General features: G+C 54.0%; 1 protein-coding gene across 1 annotated transcript in view, besides 10 other annotated features; it reads left to right on the top strand.

Moving 5' to 3' along the window:
* Positions 1-20,707, top strand: part of SLC8A2 (solute carrier family 8 member A2) — a 43,877-nt gene extending 23,170 nt beyond the window's left edge. The window contains exons 4-10 of the mRNA NM_015063.3: positions 493-915; positions 7,284-7,387; positions 7,538-7,555; positions 10,751-10,875; positions 11,163-11,262; positions 16,279-16,557; positions 18,259-20,707. Coding sequence (NP_055878.1) covers positions 493-915; positions 7,284-7,387; positions 7,538-7,555; positions 10,751-10,875; positions 11,163-11,262; positions 16,279-16,557; positions 18,259-18,635 — 1,426 coding nt within the window. The 3' untranslated portion in view covers positions 18,636-20,707. The remainder of the gene's footprint in view (positions 1-492; positions 916-7,283; positions 7,388-7,537; positions 7,556-10,750; positions 10,876-11,162; positions 11,263-16,278; positions 16,558-18,258) is intronic.
* Positions 1,152-2,077: an enhancer, noted in NCBI's record as "H3K4me1 hESC enhancer chr19:47949904-47950829 (GRCh37/hg19 assembly coordinates)". NCBI's record gives its function as "activates a minimal SCP1, AML or CMV promoter by ChIP-STARR-seq in primed H9 embryonic stem cells {active_cell/tissue: H9 hESC(primed)}" and the evidence as "EXISTENCE:reporter gene assay evidence [ECO:0000049][PMID:30033119]".
* Positions 1,188-1,257: a silencer, noted in NCBI's record as "silent region_10854". NCBI's record gives its function as "represses an Ori minimal core promoter by ATAC-STARR-seq in GM12878 lymphoblastoid cells {active_cell/tissue: GM12878}" and the evidence as "EXISTENCE:reporter gene assay evidence [ECO:0000049][PMID:35858748]".
* Positions 2,464-2,513: a silencer, noted in NCBI's record as "silent region_10853". NCBI's record gives its function as "represses an Ori minimal core promoter by ATAC-STARR-seq in GM12878 lymphoblastoid cells {active_cell/tissue: GM12878}" and the evidence as "EXISTENCE:reporter gene assay evidence [ECO:0000049][PMID:35858748]".
* Positions 6,535-6,682: a silencer, noted in NCBI's record as "fragment chr19:47945299-47945446 (GRCh37/hg19 assembly coordinates)". NCBI's record gives its function as "represses an EF-1alpha promoter that drives an FKBP-Casp9 reporter gene in an ReSE screen in phorbol 12-myristate 13-acetate-treated (for megakaryocytic differentiation) K562 erythroleukemia cells {active_cell/tissue: K562(+PMA)}" and the evidence as "EXISTENCE:reporter gene assay evidence [ECO:0000049][PMID:32094911]".
* Positions 11,629-12,130: an enhancer, noted in NCBI's record as "H3K4me1 hESC enhancer chr19:47939851-47940352 (GRCh37/hg19 assembly coordinates)". NCBI's record gives its function as "activates a minimal SCP1, AML or CMV promoter by ChIP-STARR-seq in naive H9 embryonic stem cells {active_cell/tissue: H9 hESC(naive)}" and the evidence as "EXISTENCE:reporter gene assay evidence [ECO:0000049][PMID:30033119]".
* Positions 19,258-19,552: an enhancer, noted in NCBI's record as "tiled region #169; K562 Activating non-DNase unmatched - State 7:EnhWF". NCBI's record gives its function as "activates a minimal TATA promoter and a strong SV40 promoter by Sharpr-MPRA in K562 cells {active_cell/tissue: K562}" and the evidence as "EXISTENCE:reporter gene assay evidence [ECO:0000049][PMID:27701403]".
* Positions 19,754-20,321: an enhancer, noted in NCBI's record as "H3K4me1 hESC enhancer chr19:47931660-47932227 (GRCh37/hg19 assembly coordinates)". NCBI's record gives its function as "activates a minimal SCP1, AML or CMV promoter by ChIP-STARR-seq in naive H9 embryonic stem cells {active_cell/tissue: H9 hESC(naive)}" and the evidence as "EXISTENCE:reporter gene assay evidence [ECO:0000049][PMID:30033119]".
* Positions 19,754-20,890: a biological region, named in NCBI's record as "hESC enhancers GRCh37_chr19:47931091-47931659 and GRCh37_chr19:47931660-47932227".
* Positions 20,238-20,532: an enhancer, noted in NCBI's record as "tiled region #6080; K562 Activating DNase unmatched - State 5:Enh". NCBI's record gives its function as "activates a minimal TATA promoter and a strong SV40 promoter by Sharpr-MPRA in K562 cells {active_cell/tissue: K562}" and the evidence as "EXISTENCE:reporter gene assay evidence [ECO:0000049][PMID:27701403]".
* Positions 20,322-20,890: an enhancer, noted in NCBI's record as "H3K27ac-H3K4me1 hESC enhancer chr19:47931091-47931659 (GRCh37/hg19 assembly coordinates)". NCBI's record gives its function as "activates a minimal SCP1, AML or CMV promoter by ChIP-STARR-seq in naive H9 embryonic stem cells {active_cell/tissue: H9 hESC(naive)}" and the evidence as "EXISTENCE:reporter gene assay evidence [ECO:0000049][PMID:30033119]".

Below are 26,287 nucleotides of genomic sequence, written 5' to 3'. Positions count from 1 at the left end.
AATGCGATTCTAGAAACCCGGGAGCTTCTAAACCAGAATCTGCATTTTCACAAGCTCCACCAGGGGATTCATATGCATATTAAGGTTTGAGAAGCAGGGATGTAGAACACCCCAGGCTCCCTCTCAACTCTTGGACTTTGCATGTGCTGTTCCTTCTGCCTGGAGTATGCCCACCTGCTAATGCCTCCTCCAGGAAGCCTGCCCTGATCTCAACCTTATCATTACCTGTTTAATTCCCACCTTCTGCTCTTCACGAGTTCCACGCGGGGAGGGGCCCACTCTGTCTTGTTCCCGCTCTGCAGCCCTTCCTCCAGGACGCCCACCCCGATTCACCCTCAGTATTACTTGTTTAATGCCTGTCGACCCTCATACTTGGGAGTTCTTCTATGGCACCTACGTCTCCTCTGGGAAGCACGTCCAGACTCCCCCCGTACAACACACAGCCGATGACCGACCCTCACCCCGCTCTTCCCCCTCCCCACCCCGCCGCAGCGAGGGCACGCTGGTGTTCAAACCAGGCGAGACGCAGAAGGAGCTGCGCATCGGCATCATCGACGACGACATCTTCGAGGAGGACGAGCATTTCTTCGTGCGGCTGCTGAACCTGCGCGTGGGCGACGCGCAGGGCATGTTCGAGCCGGACGGCGGCGGGCGGCCCAAGGGGCGGCTGGTGGCGCCGCTGCTGGCCACCGTCACCATCCTGGACGACGACCACGCAGGCATCTTCTCCTTCCAGGACCGCCTGCTGCACGTGAGCGAGTGCATGGGCACCGTGGACGTGCGCGTCGTGCGCAGCTCGGGCGCGCGCGGCACCGTGCGCCTTCCCTACCGCACGGTGGACGGCACGGCGCGCGGCGGCGGCGTGCACTACGAGGACGCGTGCGGAGAGCTGGAGTTTGGCGACGACGAGACCATGTGAGCACGCCCGAGGCGGCCCGGAGAGGGGCGGGGCTTCGGAATGGGCGAGGCCTGATGTGGCTCAGGGGCGGGGCCTGGGTGAGCCATGCCCACATAGTGGGCGGGTCTTGGTTGGGCCTCGGGAGGGGAGGGGCCTGCGTGGCCGTGCCCGCAACGTGGGCGGGGCCTGTGACCCATGCCCACGACGTGGGCGGGGCTTCACTGAACAGCTGGGCCCTCAGGAGGAGAGGGGCCTGAGTGAATCGTTCTCCAAAGTGGGCTTGGCCTCGGGAGGGGCGGGGCCTAGGTGTGCTGTGTCTACCACGTGGGCGGGGCCTGGTGGGGTTGTGACTGTGAAATGAAGAGGCGAGGCCTAGAAGGGTGGCCGGACAGGTGAGAAGAGGGCCCCAAGGAGGAAGGGGGGACGAGGTGAGGAGAGATGGGACGGGGCCTGGGGAGAGCGGTGTGGGGCCTTAATTGGTAGCTCGTGGAGTGTGTGCTGAAGAGTACCCAGGGAGATGTGGGGAGAGGCTTGTGGAGATGAGACGCTGTCGGTGGCTGTGGAGAGGGGGCGGGTCCAGGGCGATAGGTGGGGTCTGGGTTTGGACATACGACATCAGGAAATGGGAAAATGGATGTGGGCTGCGGAAGAAGGCGGGGCCTAACAAGATGGGTGGGGCCTGGGCGCGCGGAGCTAGGGAAGGGGTGGGGCTTCTGGGTATGAGGAAGAACCTGGGGAAATAGCGGGGCACCTAACGCGAATCTGGGCGAGGATTTGGGAAAAGATGGTGCTGGAATCTGGGGGCCTGGGAAGGCAGGGCAGGGCCTGGGGAGACACTGGGGAGCCTGAGGGCTGGGATTTAGGAAAATGGGGTCTGGGGAGGTGGGCTGGCTGGATACACTCAGACACACACATGTAGACAGACGTTTACAGATTGGACACAAAGCCATTTATACGCACCACACACACATAGACACACACGGCAGGGCCAGGCGTGGTGGTCAACACCTGTAATCCCAGCGCTTTGGGAGGACGAAGCAGGAGGATCATTTGAGGCCAGGAGTTTGAGAGCAACCTGGGCAACATAGCAAGACTCCTACTCTAAAAATAATTTTTCTAATTAGTGGTGGCGCATGTCTGTAGTGCCAGCACTTTAGGAAACTGAGGCGGGAGGATGGCATGAGCCTTGGAGTTGGAGATCAGCCTCTACTCTGCTAAAAATTGTTTAAAATTAGCTGGGCATGGTGGTGTGCACTTGTAGTCCCAGCTACTTGGGAAGCCAAAGCAGGAAGATGGCTTGAGCCCACGAGTTAGGTGCTGTAGTGAGCTGTGATCACCCACTGCACTCCAGCCTGGGCGACACAGTGAGACCCTGTCTCAAAAAAAGAAAAAAAACACGCAGACACACATAAAATCACGGACACGTACACTAAATTATTAAGTCAGGGCTGTTCTCACGCCCAGATCCCTGGCCACCCCTTACACAGGTGACCGAGTGTCCCCCAATGTGTGCCTGAAGCCTCACATTCCCCCACCCCCCTGCCCAGGATGCAGGCAGCGCCTGCCCCTCCTCTGCCCGCTCTCTTCCGCCCCCGCATGCCCGTCTGTCTCCCTCCTCCGTGCCGCCCACGCGCCTCCTACTCAAGCGGAGTCCCCACCGCGCTCCCCCTCCCTCCTCCTCCCAGCCTCTGCGCTTCCGCCTCGGGCAGCACTCAGCTTCTCACTGCTCTCGCTGTCTCTCCGTCTCTCCCTCTGCATCTCTGCATCTCTCACTCCCTGGGCTGTCTCTCTCTGGGTCTCTGCGTCTCTGTTCATCTGCAGCTGTCTGTCCCCAGCACCTCGCTCTCTGACTCAGCTTATATTTCAGGCACACTCCACACCTTTCCTTCTCTCTCTCTGTCTGGCTTGGTCTCTGTCTGAGGGTTGTTGAGAACTTGGGTTGGGGGCTGCGAGAGGCACCATCCCAGACCCCTCTCTCACACCAAGAGATGGGGGAATGGAGAGTTTTCTTTCTGCTTTTTCCGGTCCTTCTTATAGTCCAACCTGCTTCCCTCCTGCTGCTGCAACCTTACGGCCCTGTCCTCCCCCACATGGCTTCCCCAGGCTGGGACACCCTCTGTCCCCCACCCCCACAAGCTCCCAGCTGTGGCTTCAGAAGACAGAGAACAGGAGGCTAATTAGTGTTTAGGGAAACTCTTCCTTCCTCTGATGGGCAGGCACTAATTAGAGGCGCTTTGAAGCAGCTGGGCTGGAGATGGAGGAGAGACACCCAGAGATGGGGTGGCAGGGAGAGCATGAGAGACAGAGACAGAGACACAGAGATAGACACAGGGAGAGCTGAAGACAGAATAACAGAACTGGAGAGAGAAACAGAGACAGAACAGAGAGACAGAGACACAGAAAGACAGGAACTTAGAGGTCGGGCACGGTGGCTCATGCCTGTAATCTCAGCACTTTGGGAGGCCAACACGGGTGGATCATCTGAGGTCAGGAGTTCGAGACCAGCCTGACCAATATGATGAAACCCCGTCTCTACTAAAAATACAAAAATTAGCCAGGCCTGGTGGCATGCACCTGTAATCCCAGCTACTCGGGAGGCTGAGACAGGAGAATCGCTTGAACCCAGCAGGCGAAGGTTGCTGTGAGCCGAGGTCACGCCATTGCACTCTGGCCTGGGCAACAAGAGCGAAACTCCATCTCCCACCCACCCCACCCCCGAAAAAAAGGAAGAGACACAGAGACAGAGATGCTTTGAGGGAGGGAGAGAGGTGGATATTGAAAGCTGAGATGGAGGGAGACTGAAAGGCAGAGAGATGGAGACGCGATAAAGACATTCATGGAGGAGAGAGACTGACCCAGGGAAGGAGAGGTTCTCACGATGCTGCAGAGAGAAAAGGGAGTTTGGGTCAGTGAGAGACAGGATGAGGAGACTGGGTCTGAGATCAGAGACTGGCAGGGGAGAAGGGCAGGAGAGTGGAGTTTTCAGGAAACAAGGGGGCAGGCTGGGGAGGAAATCTGCTTCCTTTGATCTCAGGAAGTCCTGTCTTGGTCTAGCTCGAGTCCCTCTTGCTGTTTCCTGCGCGTTGGGTTTCTCCTGCATTTGGGTCCCCTGAGGGTGCGCCTGCCAGGCGCAGTTGACGTGCCTGTCACTGCACGTCAGTCACTGTGTGTCAGCGGATCGCAGCATGTCTGCGAGAGTGAGCGACAGAGGTGTGTGTGTCACCCTGTCAGCATGTCACTGTGTCGGCAGCTGTCTGTGTGTGTCAGGGTGTGTGAGGAGCATGTCTCGGGAGACCCTCCCTCCTCGCCGGCCCCAGCATTTCAGCACCGCGGACAGCTCACAGCCCACGCCGAGGTCGGGGGCGGCCCTTTCTTTCCACCCACAGAAAATTGAAAATATCCTGAAACCAGGAGGGTGGAGGTGGGCGGATGTCCCCACATGGCCGTCTTGTGTGCGCCTGTCCTTGCGCGGGTGTCGCTGTGTCTTGTGCGTGTTTGTGTGTTGAGATGCGTCTTTTGAATGACTGCCTGATTGAAACTCTTCTGCTTGAAGTGTGTTGACTTTTGTTACTCCATTCTTTAGACTCTGAAAGACAGAGACAGGGAGAGAAGAATCCAGATAAAGAAGGGCGGGCCAGGTGCTGTGGCTCACACCTGTAACCCCAGCACTGGGGAGGCCAAGGTGGGAGGATCACTTGAGGCCAGGAATTCAAGACCAGCCTGGGCAACATAGTGAGATCCTGTCTCTATAAAAAATTTAAAAGTAGCCAGGTGTGGTGGCACACGCTTATATTTCCAGCTACTTAGGAGGCTGAGGTGGGAGGATTGCTTGAGCCCTGGAGATCAAGGCTGCAGTGAGCCATGATTATGCCACTGCACTCCAGCCTGGGCAACAGAGCGAGACTTTGTTTCAAAAAAAGGGAGAGCAGAGAGATGAGAAGAGACTGAGACAGAGAACGGAGAGAGTCAGAGTCAGAGAGAGAGACTGCTGGAGAGTCAGAGAGACAGAGTCAGAGATGGAGAGATAGACCCAGAGAAGCTGAGAGAGGCAGAGAGAGAAAAGAAGATGGAAAATGTAGGGACAGAGATGCAGAGAGGCACTGAAGGAAGTAAACAGAGACACCAAGAGGCGTCAGGAGTTAGATATAAGGTAGGAGCGTCTACGTGGTACCACAGTGAGGGGCTGCAGGGTGGCGATGTCGCCAAGGCTGTGGTGGGGGAGTCGTGCTAACTGACGGGCATCTGGTCCATGCAGTCTTGCCACTGCAGTGGGAATGGCTGTAGGGTGTGATGGCGTGTGGGTGTGGGCGGTGTGATCGGCTGTGCTTCCTCGATTGGGTGACTGTGTGGGCTGGGTGTTTGTGTTTTTGGGTTCTGGGGCCAGGCCTTGTGGGACTACATGGTTCCTACAGCCTAAAGAGTTGCCAGTGGCAAAGCTGTGGGCATTCTGGGTTTGTGGGTCTTTGGGGTCGAGGGGTGTGGATTATGTGCCTGAAGGTGACAGGTAACTTCTGGCTGTTTCCTGCCACCCCCTGGTTACCATAGGAGCAGAGATGCTGAGAAAATCAGTTAGCATCAGCACTTGGTTAACTCTCCAGATCTGGTTGGGACAGAGAGCAGGAAGCTGAGGGTTTTCTGTGCTGAAGGATTGGAGTTAGCAAAATATGCATGGAGGGTGTGCTCTATGCCAGGGACTGTTCTGGGTGTTGGAGATAAAACAAAAAACATAAATGAACTTACCTGGGGGAACTTAAATTTAAAGATGGGGAAGCAAATGGTAAATGACGAACAATAAACTAAATAAATGTTAGAGGGTGTTAGAAGGTGATATTTAAAGAAGACAGGCCAGGTGCCATGGCTCACATCTGTAATCCCAGCACTTTGGGAGGCCAAGATGGGAGGATCACTTGAGGGCAGGAGTTCAAGACCAGCCTGGGCAATGTGGTGAGACCCCATCTCTACAAAAAATAAAAAATTAACTGAGCATGGTAGTGTATACCTGTAGTCCCAGCTACATGAGAGGCTGAGGCAGGAGGATCGCTTGATCCCAGGACTTTGAGGCTGCATTGAGCTATGATTGCACCACTGCACTCCAACCTGGGTGACACAGCAAGATCTTGTCTCCAAAAATAATAATAAATACATTAAAAAGAAAGACAACAGAGCAGTATAAGGGAGTGCTGGAGGGGGAGCAGTGAGGGATTTCACTATTAAATAAGATGGAAGAAGTGGGCCCCATTGAGAAGGTGAAGTTTGAATGAAGAACTGAGGAAGGGAGCCTGGGGGAAGAGTGTTCTAGGCAGAGGGAACAGCCAGTGCAAAAGCCCTGAGGCATGAGCAGGCCTGGCTTGTTCAAGGAATAGCAAGGAGGCCAGAAAGGGAATGAGTGCTAGATTGCAGGGGGTCTTGTGGGCCATCCTAAGGACTTTGACTTTCATTCTGTGAGAGATAGGAGCCTTGCAAATGTTTTGCACAGGGGAGGAATGCGGTCTGACTTTGGTTCTATCAGGATCACTCTGGCTGCTCTTGAAGGAACAGACTGTGGGCGGTGAGGCTGAAGCATGGGATTGTTTAGCAGGCAACTAGTAATCTAGGTAGGAGACCATAGTGGCTGGGCTGGAGTGCAGGGGTTAACAGTCTGGATTCTGACAGTTGTAAGTTCAAATCCTGTCTCAACCATGAGCTCATACCGCTTTGCTTTATTTTTTTATTATTATTATTTTTTGAGATGGTGTCTCGCTCTGTTGCCAGGCTGGAGTGCAGTGGCATGATCTCAGCTCACTGCAACCTCCACCTCCCAGGTTCAAGCAATTCTCCTGCCTCAGCCTCCCAGGTAGCTGGGACTACAGGCATGTGCCACCACACCCAGCTAATTTTTGTATTTTTAGTAGAGACAGAGTTTCACCATGTTGGACAGGATGGTCTCAATCTCTTGACCTCGTGATCCGCCCGCCTCGGCCTCCCAAAGTGCTGGGATTACAGGCGTGAGCCACCGTGCCCGGCCTATTTTTTAAAATAAATTATTTAATATAAATAGAGATGGGCTCTCAATATATTGCCCAGGCTGGTCTTGAACTCCTGGCCTCAAGCAACCCTCCCTCCTCAGCCTCCTAAAGTTCTGGGATAAGAGGCATGAGCCACCGCACCCAGAATGCTTTACTTTAATCAGACTCAGCTTCCTCACCAGTGCCTGGTTTTGTTTCTGTCAAATGGGGATGATAATAGAGCCTTCCTCCCTGCGTGGTGGTGAGAAGTAAATGAGATTGTGGAGTCTGGGACAGAGGAGGTGCTTGGAAAACTGGGTGGCTGCCAGGAGGGTTGCCTGGTGAGTCTGGGGAGGGGGCCTTACACTGAGTGTTCTGCCTCCCCCTTACCCCCTGCACAGGAAAACTCTTCAGGTGAAGATAGTTGATGACGAGGAATATGAGAAAAAGGATAATTTCTTCATTGAGCTGGGCCAGCCCCAGTGGCTTAAGCGAGGGATTTCAGGTGAGGGGTGACCAGTGGGCTGTGGGAGAAGTAAGGGGTCCAGGGTCGGGGGACTTTCAGGGGCTCAATTGCAGGCACTCCTTAAAGCTCGTGGACCTGAGCTTCGTGGGGAACTGATCTCACTGTCTGCCTGTCTCTGTCTCTCCCCAGCTCTGCTACTCAATCAAGGTGAGTGAAGTCACCTCTGGGCTCTGAGTGGGGAGGAGCCACTGGAAGAGGGCCTGGGGGAGGGTCCCAGCCCCAAAGCTACTCTTCCAGGTTGGGTTTGAGGCAGATTGGAGGTGAGATAAAGGCAGATTCAGGGCTGGGGGACAGTGGGGTCTGGCCTGAGAGTTGGTGGTGCCTGTATGAGTTTGGGATTACAGTTAGCATTTTGGAGGTCAAGATTATGTCTGTAACATGGTGAAACCCCATCTCTTGTAAAGATACAAAAATTACCTGGGTGAGGCCAGGTGCGGTGGCTCACACCTATAATCCCAGCACTTTGGGAGGCCGAGGAGAGTGGATCACCGGAGGTCAGGAGTTAGAGAGCAGCCTGACCAACATGGTGAAACTCCGTCTCTATTAAAAATACAAAATTAGCCGGGCCTGATGGCACACAACTGTAATTCCAGCTACTCAGGAGGCTGAGGCAGGAGAATCGCTCGAACCCGGGAGGTGGAGGTTGCGGTGAGCCGAGATCGCGCCATTGCACTCCACGCTGGGGAACAAGAACGAAACTCTGCCTCAAATAAAAAAAAAAATTAGCTGAGTGTGATGACAGGCATCTGGAATCCCAGCTGCTTGGGAGGCTGAGGCAGGAGAATCGCTTGAACCCGGGAGGCAGAGGTTGCAATGAGCCAAGATGGTGCCACTGCACTCCAGCCTGGGCAACAGAGCAAGACTCCATCTCAAAAGATTATGTCTGTAATCAGGGTTGTAAGTCATACAATCAGATCTGGGTTTGTGAGAGTGAGGTCAGAGAGAATCCAGTTTGGGGTTGATTAGGAGTGAGGTGGGGTTTGGATTGGAGATCGGGGTTAGGACCATGTTAAGGTGAGAGTCACAGTGGAGGTGCTTTCCTGCTGGTGGGATCAGATTAGAATTAGAGTCAGATTTAGGTCAAAGCTAAAGTTGGACTTTGAGGTGAGTAATAGAGTTTGAGGAATTTAGGTTAGAATTGGGGCCAAGGTCAGAGATTGGAGTAAGAGTTAGGGCTAAGGTCAGTGGCTTGGAGATGGACAAAGTCATTTTGGAGTCAAGATCAGAATTGGGATCCGTGGTTAGGATTAGAGTTAGATTAAAGATTGTATTCGTTGGAGGAAGCAATACAAGCTGCTATAACAAACTGACCGACAAGTCACAGGGGCTTAACACAATAAAAGTTATTTCTTTACTGGGCACAATGCCTCATGTCTGTAATCCCAGCACTTTGAGAGGCCCAGGCGGGCGGATCACTTAAGGTCAGGAGTTCAAGACCAGCCTAACCAACATGGTGAAACCCTGTCTCTACTAAAAATACAAAAATTAGCCGGGCATGGTGGTGGGCACCTGTGATCCCACCTACTCAGGAGCCTAAGGCAGGAGAATCACTTGATCCTGGAAAGTGGAGGTTGCAGTGAGCCGAGATCGTGCCACTGCACTCCAGCCTGGGTGACAGAGCGAGACTCCATCTCAGAAAAGTAAGAAAGAGAGAGAGAGAGGGAGGGAGGGGAGGAAGGAAGGAAGGAAGGAAGGAAGAAAGGAAGGAAGGAGGGAGAAGAGAGAAAAAAAGTTATTTCTTGCTCAGGCAAAGTTGTTTTTTGTTTCTTTGTTTGTCTTTGTGAGACGGAGTTTTGCTCTCGTTGCCCAAGCTAGAGTGCAATGGTGCGATCTCGGCTCATGGCAACCTCCACCCCCCGGGGTTCAAGAGATTCTCCTGCCTCAGCCTCCCGAGTAGCTGGGATTACAGGCACCTGCCACCACACCTAGCTAATTTTTTTTGTATTTTTTAGTAGAGATGGGGTTTCACCATGTTGGCCAGGCTGGTCTCGAACTCCTGACCTCAGGTGATCCACCTGCCTTGGCCTCCTAAAGTGCTGGGATTACAGACATGAGCCACTGTACCTGGCCTCTCAGGCAAAGTTTTACGAGAGTGTTCCTAGTTGGTGGGTGGCTTTCTTCTGCCATGTGGCCATTCCATCTTGTGACTCCACTGTGCCAGGGAGCTTTGGCATTGTGGCTGGGTTTGCTGCTGGTGAACAGGGCAAGAGAGTTTCGAGGCTCACATGGGAGGTTTTCGGGGGCTAAGCCTGGAGGGACTGACCATCACTTCTGCCCACATTCTAGTGTCCATAACTCAGGCCGTGGCCACGCCCAGCTGCAAGGGAGGCTGGGAAATGTAGTTCAGCTCTTTGCCCAGGAAGGAGAGGAAACAGGTTCAGGTGAACACACTTCAGCTTCTGCCGTGTGGTCAAGCTCCTCATGAGTGATGGTGTCAGAGTTGGGAGTTGGGACTGAGGTTTGAGGTCAGGTGTAGGACTGGAGTTAGATCTGGAGATAGAGTGTGGGATTTGGCTTGGGGTTATTGATGCTCCAGGTTATGGTGAATGTTAGAGTCGGGATTAGGGTTTAGGGCTAGGGTTGTGCTGAGGTCAGATCCAGGGCTGAGGGTTGGGGTTTGGAGTCAGTGTTGATGACAGGCTTCCATTTGGGGCCACAGTGAGAGTCCAGCTCAGAGTTAGGGACCAGAATTAGGGTTGGGCTGCTGCTGGGCTTGGAGTCAGGGGTCAGCATACTTTGGGGAGAGAAGCGAGCTCAGGACCAGGATGTAGGTGGGTCTGGTTCCAAGATTTGTGCCAAAATCGGATGTCCTCCCCTTTCCTTACCATGTCAGCCACACTCTAGGATGTTTCCAGAAACTGGATGTAGAGACCAGGCCTCCCCTATCAGGGTGGCAACGATGATGATAATGTTGGTGATAATAATAAAGATAGTAACATGTATTGAATATTTATTGTGTGCCAGGCACTGTTCTAAGCACTTCACACGAATTAACTCATTTAAGTCTCACAACCACCCCATGAGGTAGGTACTAATTATTGTGCCCGTTTAACAGTTATGAAAACTAAGGCACAGAGAGGCTCAGGTATTGCCTAAAGTCTCACAGCCTCCACCATACGAACCCCAGAGCCCACCAACTAAAGATCATGAACCAACCCTTGGGAGCTGGACCTCAGGGTTGAAGGAGACGGTGGTCAGGTGGGAGGCTGGGAGGAGTCACCAAGGAGCTTCCCAGAGGAGAACAGATAGGCTTTCTCTAACTATGGGGACAGGTAGTAAAGGCGTCACAGGCCCAATTAGGTAGGTCTCCCAGGAGTCTAACCCCCACCCCTCATGCTGCAGGGGATGGGGACAGGAAGCTAACAGCCGAGGAGGAGGAGGCTCGGAGGATAGCAGAGATGGGCAAGCCAGTTCTTGGGGAGAACTGCCGGCTGGAGGTCATCATCGAGGAGTCATATGATTTTAAGGTGATTTTCCGGGGCCTCACCTTCCTGGAGTCCAGCCTGGTTCATTTCCTTGGGGAGGGTCCGGAAAGCGGGGAGCCACAAGGTTCCTAAGATCAAGCCAAAGAAGGGTCCCACGTCAGGACCACGGACAGCACATGCCTCCCTTTTCCTTGCTTGCCTTCAGAACGGGGGTGTGGAAAGTTGAGGACCCCTGGGCACAGGCTGTGAGCCCCCGACCCAGGACCCAACATGGAGCTTCCCTGGTTCGCTCAGGGGCAGTGACCTCTCCCCCACCCTCTCATCCCCAGAACACGGTGGATAAACTCATCAAGAAAACGAACTTGGCCTTGGTAATTGGGACCCATTCATGGAGGGAGCAGTTTTTAGAGGCAATTACGGTGAGCGCAGGTAAGTGGGGAGGGAGGAGAGAGAAGAGAGAAAGATGGAGAGACAGAGACACAGGGAAAGGGGGAGAAATGAATGGAGAGACAGGCACAAAGATAAACAGGCCGGGCGCGGTGGCTCATGCCTGGAATCCTGGCGCTTTGGGAGGGTGAGGCGGGAGGATTGCTTGAGGCCAGGAGTTTGAGGCTGCAATGAGCCATGATCGTGCCTCTGCACTCCAGCCTGGGCAACAGAGCAAGACGCTGTCTCTAAAAAAAATACAAGCAGGAGAGAGAGACACACAGAAATACACAGGGAGAATCAGAGAGACATGGAGAAGACATGAGACAGAATGAACGGTGCAAACTGAAATGGGCCGGGGAGAGGGAGAGGCAGGTAGATGAGGATACAGAAAGGGCAGAGAAGGGAGAGGTGGTGGCTGGAGCGGCTGGGAGGGTTTGTGTTTGGCTCTGGGCTGAACCGGGAGGGTTCCCAGCCTGGGCTTTCTCCCAGCATCAGGCATCAGGAGGGTGGGAACAGATTAAATGGTGTGGCCACCCCAGAGAGAGCCTGGGTTCCTCCGTTGCCCTGGAGACAGTCACCAGGGCACCGAGCTCTTTCCTACCTGCGCGGGTCACCACCCTCCTTGGCCTCAGACAGGCCCACACTGCCCCCTTGTGGCTAGAGACACTACGACACTTGTACCCACTGACGGTCTTGGAAGCCAACACTGGCCCTTTGTGATATGGACTGGGGAGACTGAGGCTCAGAGACAGAGGAGGGAGTGGCCTGAAGTCCCACAGGGAGTCCAGAAAAGGCCCGAGGTCGGAGCTCAGGGCTTCAATCTCTTACATAACATCAGGGTTAAGGCCCCAGCTCTTGGGGACTGAAGGCGTACATGGAATTGTGGTTGCAAAGAAACTGGGCGAGCAGGATCCAAAGAAACCAGGCTTAAGGGGATGGGAAAATACAAGGCAGCAGTCCTAGAAACACCAGACTGTTTGCCCAGTAGAAACAAAGTGGCATCTCCCTCTGAAGCCACATTCTTCTGACATACTTCTGAGGGATCTTCTGGGCCCGACCCTATGTGAGACATTGCCAGGGACACAGAAGTGATTTCTGGCCCTGTCATGGAGCTTACAGCCCAGTGCAGGAGACAGACATGTCACAAGACACAGACAACCCAGAGTAGGCAGGGCTGGGATGGGAGACCCGGAGGAAAGCCCTGATGCGGTTCCTAACCCAGCCTGAAAGTCAGGGAGGGCTTCCTGGAGGGGGTGGCTTCCCAGCTGAGTCTTCAAATGGGTAAAGATGTCAGCCAGGAGGAGGGAGAAGACAGGGAGAGTGTTTCAGGCAGAGGGAGAGCCAAGCACAGAAGCCCTGGAGTGTGCGAGATTATGGCACATTTTTTGGGTGGGTGCCTGGTGTTGGGCGGGAGGAAGAGGTACCAGGATGAGGCTGGAAATCGGCACATTTCTACACTGCTCCTTGTGGACCACAGTAGGGAGCTTGGGTGGCATTTGAACACACTGGGGAGCCATGGAGGGTTTTGAATGGGGGAAGCCCCTGGGGCTAGAGAGAGCTTGTGGGAGGAAAGTGGAGAGGGTGTGGGTAGAGGCTGTAGAAACTAGCAGTAGAGGCTGGGTGCGGTGGCTCACGCCTGTAATCCTAGCACTTTGGGAGGCCGAGGCAGGTGGATCACCTGAGGTCAGGAGTTCGAGACCAGCCTGACCAACATGGAGAAACCCCGTCTCTACTAAAAATACAAAATTAGCCGGGCATGGTGGCCTGCGCCTGTAATCCTAGGTACTCAGGAGGCTGAGGCAGGAGAATCGCTTGAACCTGGGAGGCAGAGGTTGCGGTGAGCCGAGATAGCACCATTGCACTCCAGCCTGGGCAACAAAGCGAAACTCCGTCTAAAAAAAAAAAAAAAAACGAAGAAAAGAAACTAGCAGGAGACGGGCCCTGCAGAGGCTCCTTTGAGGTTCATTCCACGAACAACGGGGAGATGGCAAGGGGCTCTTTGAGCTTCGGAGCATTTCCTTCCTCTGGGGACTTAGTGGAGACGGAGGATGAGGCGGAACTGAAACGAGGTGGGAGGTGGCGGTCGTAGAGACCCAGCGTACATCGTGCTGTGGGTTTATAGAAACCAGGTGGTTAGATCAGGTGATTAGATCGGGGTGGAGGAAGAATAACAACATAACAATAATAATAACTGTAATAATAATCCTGATTATGACAACGGTGACCCTATCATGTCTTTTTTTTTTGAGATATGTAGTCTCTGTCATCCAGGCTGGAGTGTAGTGGTGTGATCTCGGCTCACTGCAGCCTCCTCAGCCTCCTCCTCCTGGGTTCAAGCGATCCTCCTGACTCAGCCTCCTGAGTAGCTGGGATTACAGGCACCCACCACCATGTCTGGCTAAGTTTTGTATTTTTAGTAGAGATGGGATTTCACCATGTTGGCCGGACTGGTCTTGAACTCCTGACCTCAAGTGATCTGCCCACATCCGCCTCCCAAAGTGCTGGGATTACAGGTGTAAGCTACTGTGCCCAGCTGACCCTATCGTGTCTTGAGTGCCAGGCATGGTTGGAAATTTATTTCCTGTGTGAACTCATTTTAATTAATGTATCCTCAGTGTCTGGATCAGAGCTTGGTCACTTTGCACTTTGTTCAGCACGTGCCTTTTGGTTCTTTGCTGTGCGAGCACAGAGCTGCTGGAGGGGTGAGGGAGAAGGGTAGTCCTCACTCCCTTAGGAGATGAGTCGGGTCCCATCTTGTCGCAGAGCTTTTGTACTTCCTTTACCTCCCTTCCTACTGTAAGCTCCTTGTGGGCTGGACTTGGCATGGAGCATCTTTGAATTTCCCCCAGGCACCAAAAAAGGCCTTCAATCATAACAATCGAAACAACAGTAATAACGCTGGAGGTGTCCGAGACCGTTGACAGCACTTTACATGAACCAACTCATTCTGTCATCACAAGTTTCCCATGAAGCAGGTCCAATTATTTATCACAGATAGGCACCCAGAAGCCCAGAGAGGTGAGGACACTGATTCAGGATCACACAGTGGATCCAGGGTTGGACACCAGAGAGGTGACTTCAGAGTGACAGGCATAACCACGAGCCTCCCTGTAGAGGGGAGCAGCTGGGGAAGTCAGCTGAGGCCAGAGTCCGCAGAATGCCAAGCCTAGGCATGTGGGCCTGGGTTTGAAGGTAGTACAAGAACCAAGGAAGGATTTGAAGCAGGGCAGGCAGAAGCCTCAACTGACATAGTGATGCGGTAATAGCAGCCACCTCTCTCCCAAAGAGCGTGGCCTCCCTGCTCTGACCTCAGCCATGTCTTACATCAGTTAGGGATGCGTTCAGCAGTGACTGGTCAGGAGCTACGTTCGTTCTCATGAGCATCCTTCCAGATGTAATGCGTGCCACACACAAGTGTGCTCATTGATTCTCATTCATTGCTTTATACTAATCAGCTTAGGGTGAGGTAAACAAAACACTGCCTTAGGGCTTTCAGGTTATAAAAGCCACTGCAGGTCGGCTGGGCACGGTGGCCGACACCTGTAATCCCAAAACTTTGGGAGGCCTAGGAGGGCAGATCAGTTGAGGCCAGGAGTTTAAGACCAGCCTGGCCAACATGGCGAAATCCCATCTCTAGTAAAAATACAAAAAAATCAGCCAGGTGGGGTGGTGCACACCTGTGATTCCAGCTACTCAGTAGACTGAGGCATGAGAATCACTCGAACTCAGGAGGCGGAGGTTACAGTAAGCTGAGATCACACTACTGCCTTGGTAACGGAGGGAGGCTCTGTCTCAAAAAAAAAAAAAAGTCACTGCAGGTCAAAAGCTGGTCAAATTAGGTCACAATAGGTGATACAGCTCTAAGCATGAGGCATCATTTACAAAGCTCAGAAAACACATCTGTAACCCAATGCCCACATCAGGAAAGCCAGGGCTTTCCAGAAACCCTCTGTTTATATCTCATTGGCAGACTGGGTCAGATAGTCACTCACAGGAGGAATTCTGGCAAAACAAGTATTTAGCCAGGGACATGGCAACTGCCAACTGCAAGGGATTCTGGGAAAGTGAATACCATATTTTTATCTGAGGCCATAGCTGTTGCTAGTCTCAAGGGATTCTAGGAAAGTGATTAATTTTGGCTGGGTATATAGCCCTCTAGCTGCAAGGGATTCTGGGAAAGTGAGTACATTTAGTGGAGACTGTGGCTCTGGTTAGCTGCAGTGAATCTGAGGAAGTGAATACTTCTAGCTGTGGACTGGCTTTCAGCAGCTGTGAAGGCTTCTGGGAAAATGAATAATTTTAGCTAGGGGTATGGCTGTCCCTGGCAGCAAACGGTCTTGGGGAACTGGATGTTTTTAGCTGGGCAGATGTGGCTTCCTCTAGCTTCAAGGGATTCTGGGAAAGTAACTGTTTTTAGCATTGACTTGGCCACATTTAGGTGCAAGCAGTTCCGGGAAACTAAATATTTTTCACCTGGGTCCATTCATGCTCCTAGCTTCAAGGGATTCTGGGAAAGTAATGGGTTTTAGCTGCTGACTTGGCCACATTTAGGTGCAAGGGATTCTGGGAAAATAAATATTTGTCACCTGGGCCCATTCACACTCCTAGCTTCAAAGGATGCAGGGAAAGTAACTGTTTTTAGCTGCTGACATGGCCACACTTAGGTGCAAGGGATTCTGGGAAAGTAAAATTTTTTTACCTGGACTCAGTCATGCCCCTAGCTCCAAGGGATTCTATGGAAGTAACTGTTTTTACTGCTGACTTAGCCATATTTAGATCCAAAGGATTCTGGGAAAGTAAATATTTTTCACCTGGGCCCAATCAAGCTCCTAGCTTCAAGGGATTCTGGGAAAGTAACTGTTTTTAGCAGTTGACTTGGCCACAGGTAGGTGCAAGGGATTCTGGGAAAGAAGTTCATTCAATGGGACTTGCTGTCAGGAAGTTAGACAAAATGGGGCCTCTGTAGGCAAGGAAGGAAGTCTGAGTGTATGCCCCAGCTGGGTCGTGTGCCCACAGGGGACGAGGAGGAGGAGGAGGACGGGTCCCGGGAGGAGCGGCTGCCGTCGTGCTTTGACTACGTGATGCACTTCCTGACGGTGTTCTGGAAGGTGCTCTTCGCCTGTGTGCCCCCCACCGAGTACTGCCACGGCTGGGCCTGCTTTGGTGTCTCCATCCTGGTCATCGGCCTGCTCACCGCCCTCATTGGGGACCTCGCCTCCCACTTCGGCTGCACCGTTGGCCTCAAGGACTCTGTCAATGCTGTTGTCTTCGTTGCCCTGGGCACCTCCATCCCTGGTAACACCCTGGGAGACTTTGGTGGGGTAGGATCTCAGATGAGCCAGGCAGGGGCAACACAGGATCCTGCCAAAATGAGGTGGGTGGAGTCACACAGCGCCCATGTGGTGGGTCTCAGAGAAATACGGAGGTGGGGCATAATAGAAGCCAGGCAGCGGGTCCCCTAGGTGCAAGATGTGAATTGAATCCTCCCCAAAAGCACCCAGGTAGAAGGTCCCATAAAACTAAGGTAGCAGGAAATGCTAGAAACCAGACAATGGATTTCATAGAGAGAAGGTGGCAGGGTGGGGAAGAGACAGCTGTGGGGAGAGGGGTTCCTAGGAAGACGGTGGGGATTGTCAGAGAAGCCAATCAGTGGGTTCCATAGAAACAAGCTGTTGATGTCCCATCCCGCAAGAAACCAGACAGAAGAGTCCATGGAACTATGTTGGGGGACATGACAGAAACCAGGCCAGTGAACCTCAAAGTTGGTTTTTTTGGGTTTTGTTTTTTTTTTTTTTTTTTTTTTTGGTGTGGGGACAGAGTCTCGCTCTGTCACCCAGGCTGGAGTGCAGTGATCTTGTGATCTCGGCTCACTGCAACCTCTGCCTCCCAGGTTCAAGCGATTCTTCTGTCTCAGCCTCCTGAGCAGCTGAGACTACAGGCGTGCGCCACCACATCCAGCTAATTTTTACGTTTTTAGTAGAGACGGGGTTTCACCATATTGGCCAGGCTGGTCTCGAACTCCTGACCTCGTGATCCGCCCACCTCTGCCTCCCAAAGTGCTGGGATTACAGGCGTGAGCCACCACGCCTGGCCAAACCTCAGAGTTTTAACTAAGATGAGGGGGCAGGTGGGGTGTGGTGGCTCACGCCAGCACTTTGGGAGGCAAAGGCGGGGGGCCAAGGCAGGGGTAGGATTGCTTGGGCCCAGGAGTTTGAGACCAGCCTGGGCAACATGGTGAAACCCCGTATCTACAAAATATACAAAAATTAGCTGGACGTGGTGGCGCATGCCTGTGATCCCAGCTGCTCGGGAGGCTGAGGTGGGAGGATCACCTGAGCTGGGGAAAATGAGGCTGCAGTGAGCCATGATCGCACCACTGTACTCCAGCCTGGGCAACAGAGCAAGACCCTGTCTCAAAACAAAACAAACAAAAAATACAGCTAGGCGCGGTGGCTCATACCTGTAATCCCAGCACTTTGGGAGACCGAGGCGAGTGGATCACCTCAGATCAGGAGTTCGAGACCAGCCTGGCCAACATGGTGAAACCCCGTCTCTACTAAAAACACAAAATCTTAGCAGGGCGTGGTGGGCGCCTGTAATCCCAGCTACTCAGAGGCTCCGGCAAGAGAATCGCTTGAACCTGGGAGGCGGAAGTTGCAGTGAGCTGAGATCACGCCACTGCACTCCAGCCTGGGTGACAGAGCAAAACTCCGTCTCGGAGGAAAAAAAAAGAAATCACGCAGTGAGTCCCATAGAAGAGAATGAATCCCACAGAAAGCAGGCGGCAGGTCCCATAGAAAGCCGGCAGCGGTTCCAGTGGCGAGCAGGCCTAAAGGTGGTGATGGACTTTGCCTCTTGGGTGGGGGTCAGGGGTCTTGAGCCCACACTGCCCGCAGAAAGCAGGCGACCGGGAAAGGCTGGGAGGGGGCAGGCGGATGCCCGCCCCTGTGGGTGGCGGCGCAAAGCCCCTCCGACCTGTATGTCTCTGCCTCGCAGACACGTTCGCCAGCAAGGTGGCGGCGCTGCAGGACCAGTGCGCCGACGCGTCCATCGGCAACGTGACCGGCTCCAACGCGGTGAACGTGTTCCTTGGCCTGGGCGTCGCCTGGTCTGTGGCCGCCGTGTACTGGGCGGTGCAGGGCCGCCCCTTCGAGGTGCGCACTGGCACGCTGGCCTTCTCCGTCACGCTCTTCACCGTCTTCGCCTTCGTGGGCATTGCCGTGCTGCTGTACCGGCGCCGGCCGCACATCGGCGGCGAGCTGGGCGGCCCGCGCGGACCCAAGCTCGCCACCACCGCGCTCTTCCTGGGCCTCTGGCTCCTGTACATCCTCTTCGCCAGCCTGGAGGCGTACTGCCACATCCGGGGCTTCTAGGGCCTCGCGCAGAGACTCGTCCCCACCGCCCGCCCGGGGCTAGGGACTCGGCTGCACCTGCTCTTGGACCCTGGTCTCCTTTTCCCCCCAGACTCGGCCTCCTCTCCTGGGACTCGGCCTCCCTTCTCCGCCCCCTCCCCTGGCTTTGATTGCCCTGTTCTGTGTCCCCAGTAGCTCAGCCTTCCCTCTTCCTCTCGGGAGCCTCCCCGGTTCCTCCCCTGCGGTGACCCCAACTCCAGCCCATCCTGTTGGTGACCGTCTATATCCCTGGGGAAATTTCCACCCCAGTCCCCTCCCCAGGGAACCACCCCCAGTAACCATCCTGGGGAGTTTAAGGTCTCTCTCCTTGGTCACCCAGCCTGGCTTTGCCCCCAAAGTCTCCCTTCCCCTAGTGACCCCCCCCCCACTTCACCCCATGTCCCAGAGCCTCAGAACCCACCCTCCCTGGGGGACCCTCGAAGGAGGCTGTCAGAGGCCGTCTCAGCTCCCAGCCCTTCCCCCCAGCCCTCAGGGAGCTCCGCTCAGCCCCGGCGGGGAGGAGCGGGTGGGTGTGCGCGCAAGGAGGCCGCACACCGTTCCTTCCAATCCCTCCACTCGGGTTCTTGGGAGGACACTCATTCTCCAGGCTCGGAGACGAGGGGAGAAGTTTGGGGTTTCAGTCCCAGGGCTTAGCCGGAGGAAGCACATTTTGAACCTGCAACTTCAGACATTCCAGCTCCCCCACTCGCCCTCCACTACCTCTGAGAGCCCAGCCACGCCTTGGAGGGAGGGGCTTGTGTGTGTATATAGTGTGTTTGGGGGAGGGGGGACGCGGGAGGGTGCATGTCTTGGGAAAAGGGGGTGACAGACAACTTTTGAGAGGGCAGCAGACTCCCTCAGCCATGAGAACCAGCTTTGGGGAGGAGGCCGGGAATCAAAGCGAGTCCAGTTGATCTCCCCTGACAATCTGGAAGGTTCCTTTTGCCCTCAGTGCCAGCCAATCCGGGCAGGACCCTCGAAGAGGAGACCGAGGGTCCCAGAGGACCAATGCTACAAGCCAGCAAATGCTGCCACATCTCTGCCTGATGGGGGGTGGGGATGGGTGGGGGGATGGGACTGGGCCAAGGGATCTGGGTGGGCATTTTTAACTTTGGAGGCCTTCCATCTGTCGGTAGGCCATCTGCATTTTCTTACTGTTGATGTTTCCTGCCCAAAGGACACATTTGGGCAGTGCCACCCACTCCTTGGGCCCCTAGGATGACCCAACTACCCCCATAACTTTCTGCTTCCCACAGGTTTTCAGCATTCTATCGTCCTGTTGTGCTCAGCCCCAACATCCCAGACCCGTTACCCACTACCCTTCTCTCCCCCAGCTCATCATCAGTCGCTGTCTCTTTTCTGTGATTTCTGTAAAAGTTGCCATAAAACTTTGAAATTCTGCCTGAAAAACAGTCCCGTGGGAAGCTGGGATTCAGGAGGAGGGGGCTAATAAGGTCTCTGACTGAGATTTGGGCAACTGTTAAACCAAGTAATCTGGGTTTTTGCGGCCCGCGGTCGTCTGCGGGACACACCCACATATAGCAGCAGCGCCGGGGTCCAGCCGCCAAGCTCTTCCACTCGCCACGCCCCCATCAGTAATGAGCTTCCACTAGCCACGCCCCCATCCGTCAGCCTAGCTCTTCCACTAGCCACACCCCCATCCATCAGTCATGGGCTTCCACAAGCCACGCACCTCCACTCTCCATGCCCCCATTCGTCAGTCGTGGGTTTCCACTAACCACGCCCCCATTCATCAGCCAAGCTCCTCCACTTGCTACGCCCGCATCCGTCAATTACGGGTTTCCACTAACCACGCCCCCATTCATCAGCCTAGCTCTTCCACTAATCACACCCCCACTTATCAGTCGTGCTTCAGCCACGCCTTCCTGCTTCAGTCAGGGGCTTCCACTAGCCACGCCCCCATGCATGAGCCACAAACTGTTTCTCTTTATGGGCATCCTGGGAACACAAAAGAGAGACGTTCATTTGCCTGAGCCAAAGAGCTGGGGTTGATGGGGTTTCCTAAATAAAGCAAGTAATTTTCTCAGATCCTACAGGAGGAGGGGTGTGTGTGTGTGTGTTGTGCCAAAGGACACAGCCTGTGTAAAGGTGTGCAGAGTTGGGAGATAATGGCTTTTTCAGAGCCCTGGAAATGGTTATCATGAACGAGGTATGGGGTGCGTGGGGAGTGAACTTGAGGACAAATCATAAGAGACTTTATCAGCCACTCTAGGGAGCTTGGAATATATCCTAAGAGTAAAGGGGAGCTTTGCAAGGGATTTAAGTGGGGGAAGGAGGCAGGCGGTTGATATCACCTGATTTATTTTATGAGACGTTCCTCCTGGCTACTGGGGGCTGGGAGACCAGGGACAAGGCTGGAGCAGGGACAGAGGCAGCAGACGAGGGGAGAGGGGAGTAGGAGGGTGGGAGGGCGATGGTGAGAAGGGAGTGGTTGAGAGAGAGAATGGATGGGGCTGCGTGAGGGAGTTCAGGGAGTGCATCTTGGCAGGAGAGAGGTGGTGTGTTCATTCAAACGGAGTAGCCAGGGAGAGTTGGGTGAAAGGGCTACTGAGGAGTGGGCAGGGTTGGGGAAAACGAGGGAAGGTGTAGTACCCCAGGGCTAGCAGCAGAGGGAGCAGTTGCCATACCTGGGCTAGAAGGGGTGAGCAGAGGCACCCGAGGCTGCAGAGACCTGGGGACCTGAGTCTGTAGAGTAGAAGAGTACAGGCATCACCAACCTGCACTGGGGATAGCGGGGCGCCGGGAGAGTAAGCACCTCGACCTCATTCTGCTCCCACCTGCTAGTCTCCTGCCACTTCCTCCCACCGGCCGCACCCAACCTGAAGTCCAAGGTAAGACAATAGGCCCACGGCATGGTGGCTCACGCCTGTAATCCCAGCACTTTGGGAAGCCAAAGCAGAAGGGTCGCTTGAGCCTAGGAATTCAAGACCAGCCTGGACAACATAGCGAGTCCTCGTGTCTCCACAAACTTTAAAAGTTAGCCAAGCGTGGTGGCATGTGCCTGTAGTCCCAGATACTCAGGAGGCTGAAGCAGGAGGATTGCTTGAGCCCAGGAGGTCGAGGCTGCCGTGAGCTAGGACTGCACCACTGCACTCCAGCCTGAGTGACAGAGAAAAACCCTGTCTCCCCACTACCAAAAAAAAAAAAAAATCGACCTTTGGCTTTAGGCCTTGATGAGAACAGGTTTGTGGAAGGTGTAGGGGCAGACGGTGCACTGATCTGCAGTGGGAGGTGGGGAAATTGAGTCAGGGCATGTAGATCACTCTCTGGAGAGTCCTGATGTGAGGAGGGGAGGTTGCTGGAGGAGCAGTAGAGGGCATTGACTACAGGGGCACAGGAAAGCAAGGGAGGCCTGTGCTAACAGCAGCTGGCAGTGATGGGGACCCCCCCAAGCATGATCTGCTTAAACCTATTGCCAGTTCTATACATCACCCCATTCCACGGAAGAGGAAACTAAGGCTCAGAGAGGTGAAGCAATGTGCCCAAAGTTTCACAGGTAGAAGGGCAAAGATGGGACAGGATGAGTTCCACGATGTAGAATGGGACAAGGGACACCTTCAAATTTTTTTTTTTTTAGATGGAGTTTCACTCCTTTTGCCTAGGCTGGAGTGCAATGGCGCGATCTCGGCTCACTGCAACCTCCACCTCCCGGGTTCAAACGATTTTCCTGCCTCAGCCTCCCAAGTAGCTGGGATTACAGGCGCCCGCCACCACACCTGGCCAATTGTTGTATTTTTAGTAGAGACAGGTTTTACCATGTTGCCCAGGCTGTTCTCAAACTCCTTTGAACTCCTTACCTCAGGTCATCCACCCACCTCAGCCTCCCAAAGTGAACTACTGTAATCCCAAAGGATTACAGGCGTGAACCATCGTGCCAGGTCTGGGACACCTTCATCTTAACAAATGCAAACAAAGGGGGTGTAGAGTCTTGGTGCAGGAAGATGAGTAAGGTCTCAGCTGCAAAGAGAGACACATTGAGAGCTTGAGGCTTGGAAAACATGAGGACTTTCACACCTGTCCCGTCACCTCACCCCGAAGGTCATGATTCTCACCTGGATGCAAAGAGCTCTATGGGGTCAGCTTGGGAGTGATTAACATTGTCCTGGGAGGCAGCATAGTGTAGCGGCTGACTTTCTCTGTGCCTCAGTTCCCTCATCTGGAAAATGCGTGATGATGATGCTAACAGTACCTATGTCACAGGGTTGTCGTGGGGATTAAATGAATATATATTAGCCTCCCAGGCCGGGTGTGGTGGCTCATGTCTGTTATCCCAGCACTTTGGGAGGCCAAGGTGGGAGGATTGTTTGAGCCCAGAAGTTCGACACCAGCCTGGGCAACACAGTGAGACCCCATCTCTACTAAAAATAAAAATTATCTAGGCATCGTGGTGCACACCTGTAGTCCTAGCTGCTCCAGAGGCTGGGGTGGGAGGATCACTTGAGCCCACAAGGTTGAGGCTGCAGTGAGTCATGATCATGCCACTGCACTGCAGCCTAGGTGACAGAGTGAGACCCTGTCTCAAAAAACAAACAAATGAACAAAACCCAAGCAAAACCTAAAAGTCATCTGGAGGCAGAACTCCTTCTTCCTGGAGGGACCTCAGTCTTAAGGCCTTCAACTGATTGGATAAGGCCCACCCATACAATCTGCTTCACTCAAAGTCAATCGATATTAAATGTTAATCTCATTTTTTTTATTTTTGAGATGGAGTCTGGCTCTGTCGCCCAGGCTGCAGTGCAGTGGTGCGATCTCAGCTCACTGCAAGCTCCGCCTCCCAGGTTCACGCCATTCTCCTGGCTCAGCCTCCCGAGTGGCTGGGACTATGAGTAGCTGGGACTACAGGCGCCGGCCACCACGCCCGGCTAATTTTTTGTATTTTTAGTACAGACGGGGCTTCACCGCATTAGCCAGAATGGTCTCGATCTCCTGACCTTGTGATCCACCCACCTCGGCCTCCCAAAGTGAGCCACCGCGCCCGGCTATTAATCTCATTTTTAAAATACCTTTACAATGGCTGGGCGTGGTAGCTCACACCTGTAGTCCCAGCTATTCAGGAGGCTGAGGTGGGAGAATCGCTTGAACCCGGGAGGCAGAGGTTGCAGTGAGCCAAGATTGCACCACTGCACTCCAACCCGGGCAACAGAGCAAGACCCTGTCTCAAACACACACACACCCCTTCACAGCAACATCTAGGCTGATGCCTGAACATGAGGGCAGCACAGCCTAGCCACGTAGACACATATGATTCACCACCACGAGAGGTCCCTCTTTTCCCTTTGTTTCCTCTCTGCCCATCCATCATGCCCCCGCTGGCCACCGTCTTAGGCTGAGCACCAACAGAAGCCAGCCCACAGCAAGGATGGGAGGGAAATAGTTTATTTGTGAGGTGATCCCAGGAGGCACTGGAGGGAGATGGGAAAGAAAACCATTAAAGGTGGTGTTGAAGGCTGGGCGCGGTGGCTCACGCCTGTAATCCCAGCACTTTGGGAGGCCAAGGTGGGCGGATCACCTGAGGTCAGGAGTTCAAGACCAGCCTGGCCAACATGGTGAAACCCCATCTCTACTAAAAATACAAAAATTAGCCGGGCACGGTGGCAGGTGGCTATAATCCCAGCTACTCGGGAGGCTGAGGCAGGAGGATCACTTGAACCCAGGAGGCAGAGTCTGCAGTGAGCCGAGATCACACCACTGCACTCCAGCCTGGGTGACAGACCGAGACTCCATCTCAAATAAATAAATAAATAAATAATAAAGGCAGTGTTGAATGAGCAGGTCACCCTGTGGACAATGAGGTCTCCATCCTGCTGGGGACCTCTCAGGGAACTCTGGAGTTCCCCACCTGAAGACTTTGGGTTATGTATCCACTAACTCCTGTCTGATGGTGGCCCAGGACCTCTTTAGGGGTGCTGACTTCTAGCGCCTCCTACCCTGGTCTGGAAAGCATTCAGGGAAGGGTCGCAGGTGCCAGCGTGAGAGATGCTGTTGGGTCCTAGGTGGTATGAGTGGGTCAGAGACAGCCTCTGCTATGATTACTTCCCAGAACGGGGGTCTCACTACCTCCCTCTTCCAGTAAGGCAATGGGTGGCCACCAGCACAGCACTGACTGTGCCCAGGTTGCCCTCTCTCCTGGTCTGATGCCCCCAGCTCCCTCCTCGGCCTCTCCCAGGGAATCGGGAAGGGTTGGTACCTGGCATCTCCTCCACGTTCTGCCGTCCCCCTGAGGATTGAAATCAGACACTAGGGAGGACTTCCAGGCACACATGGCCAAAGGAGAGAGGGATGAGGCTCCAGGCTTCAGTGCCTCCCAAGGTACCTCCTCACTCTCTCCTTCTCGCCACCTTTGCCTCCCGTTCCCTGCCTGCTCCCTGCAATTCTCTCCCTGGGGAAGTGCGGGGAAGGGAATGTCATGGGTGGTGGATTGAAAGGGGTAGGTGGGGTCAGTAGAGGGGGAACACAGACGGTGGAGGAGGTGGAGAAGGGACACAAAAAGAGGAGGGGAAGTTGGAGAGGGAGCAGAGAGCCAAGAACAAAACACAGGGGCCGGAGAGGCAGCAGAGACAGAGATACAGACAGGATGCAGAGAAGATGCAGACGGAGGAAGCCCAGAGACTCAGAACACAGCACCAGGGAGGAGAGCGAGGTGGGGAGCGGGGCGGGGCGGGCGTCCCAGGGCGCCAGGGCAAGACCCTCACCCCATTCCCAGCACACAAAGCCAGTGAGGCCAACGCCGAGGGTACTCTCAGAGACCAGAGATTTAAAAGGCACGGCTGGGCCGACAGAGCCCATGGCAGACAGAGGGACATGGAGAGACAGGGAGAGAGACACACAGAGACAGAGGGAGAGACAGAGAGAGATGGAGAGACAGAGAGAGATGGAGAGACAGAGAGAGAGGGAGGGACAGAGAGAGAAATGGAGAGACAGAGAGAGACAGAGACAGAGAGAAATGGAGAGACAGAGAGATGGTGAGACAGACAGAAATGGAGAGACAGACCCCAAGAGGGAGAGACAGAGAGAGATGGAGAGAGAGGGAGAGACAGAGAGAGAGGGAGAGAGAGGGAGAGACAGAAAGAGAGAGACAGAGAGAAATGGAGAGACAGAGAGGGAGAGATAGAGATGAAGAGACAGAGAAGGAGAGACACAGAGAGAAATGGAGAGACAGAGAGCAAGAGGGAGAGACAGATGGAGAGAGAGGTAGAGACAGAGAGATGGAGAGACAGAGAAAGAAATGGAGAGACAGAGAGGGAGAGACAGAGATGAAGAGACAGAGAGAGAAGGAGAGACAGAGAGAGATAGAGAGACAGAGATGGAGAGACAGAGAGAGATGGAGAGACAGAGAGATGGAGAGACAGAGAGAGAGGGAGAGACAGAGATGGAGAGACAGAGAGAGAGGGAGCAACAGAGAGATGAAGAGACACAGAGAGGGAGAGACAGAGGGAGAGACAGAGTGGAGAGACAGAGAGAGAGATGGAGAGGCAGAGAGGGAGAGACAGAGAGAGATGAGAGACAGAGAGGGAGAGACAGACGGGCAGAGACAGAGAGATACAGTTATAGAGAGACACAGAGACAGAGTCAGAACTGGAAAGAGACTCAGTAAGAGAGAGACAGAGACAGAA

This window comes from Homo sapiens, chromosome 19 (assembly GCF_000001405.40).
Source record: "Homo sapiens chromosome 19, GRCh38.p14 Primary Assembly".
Lineage (NCBI taxonomy): Eukaryota > Metazoa > Chordata > Mammalia > Primates > Hominidae > Homo > Homo sapiens.
This window is presented reverse-complemented; position numbering and strand designations above follow the sequence as displayed.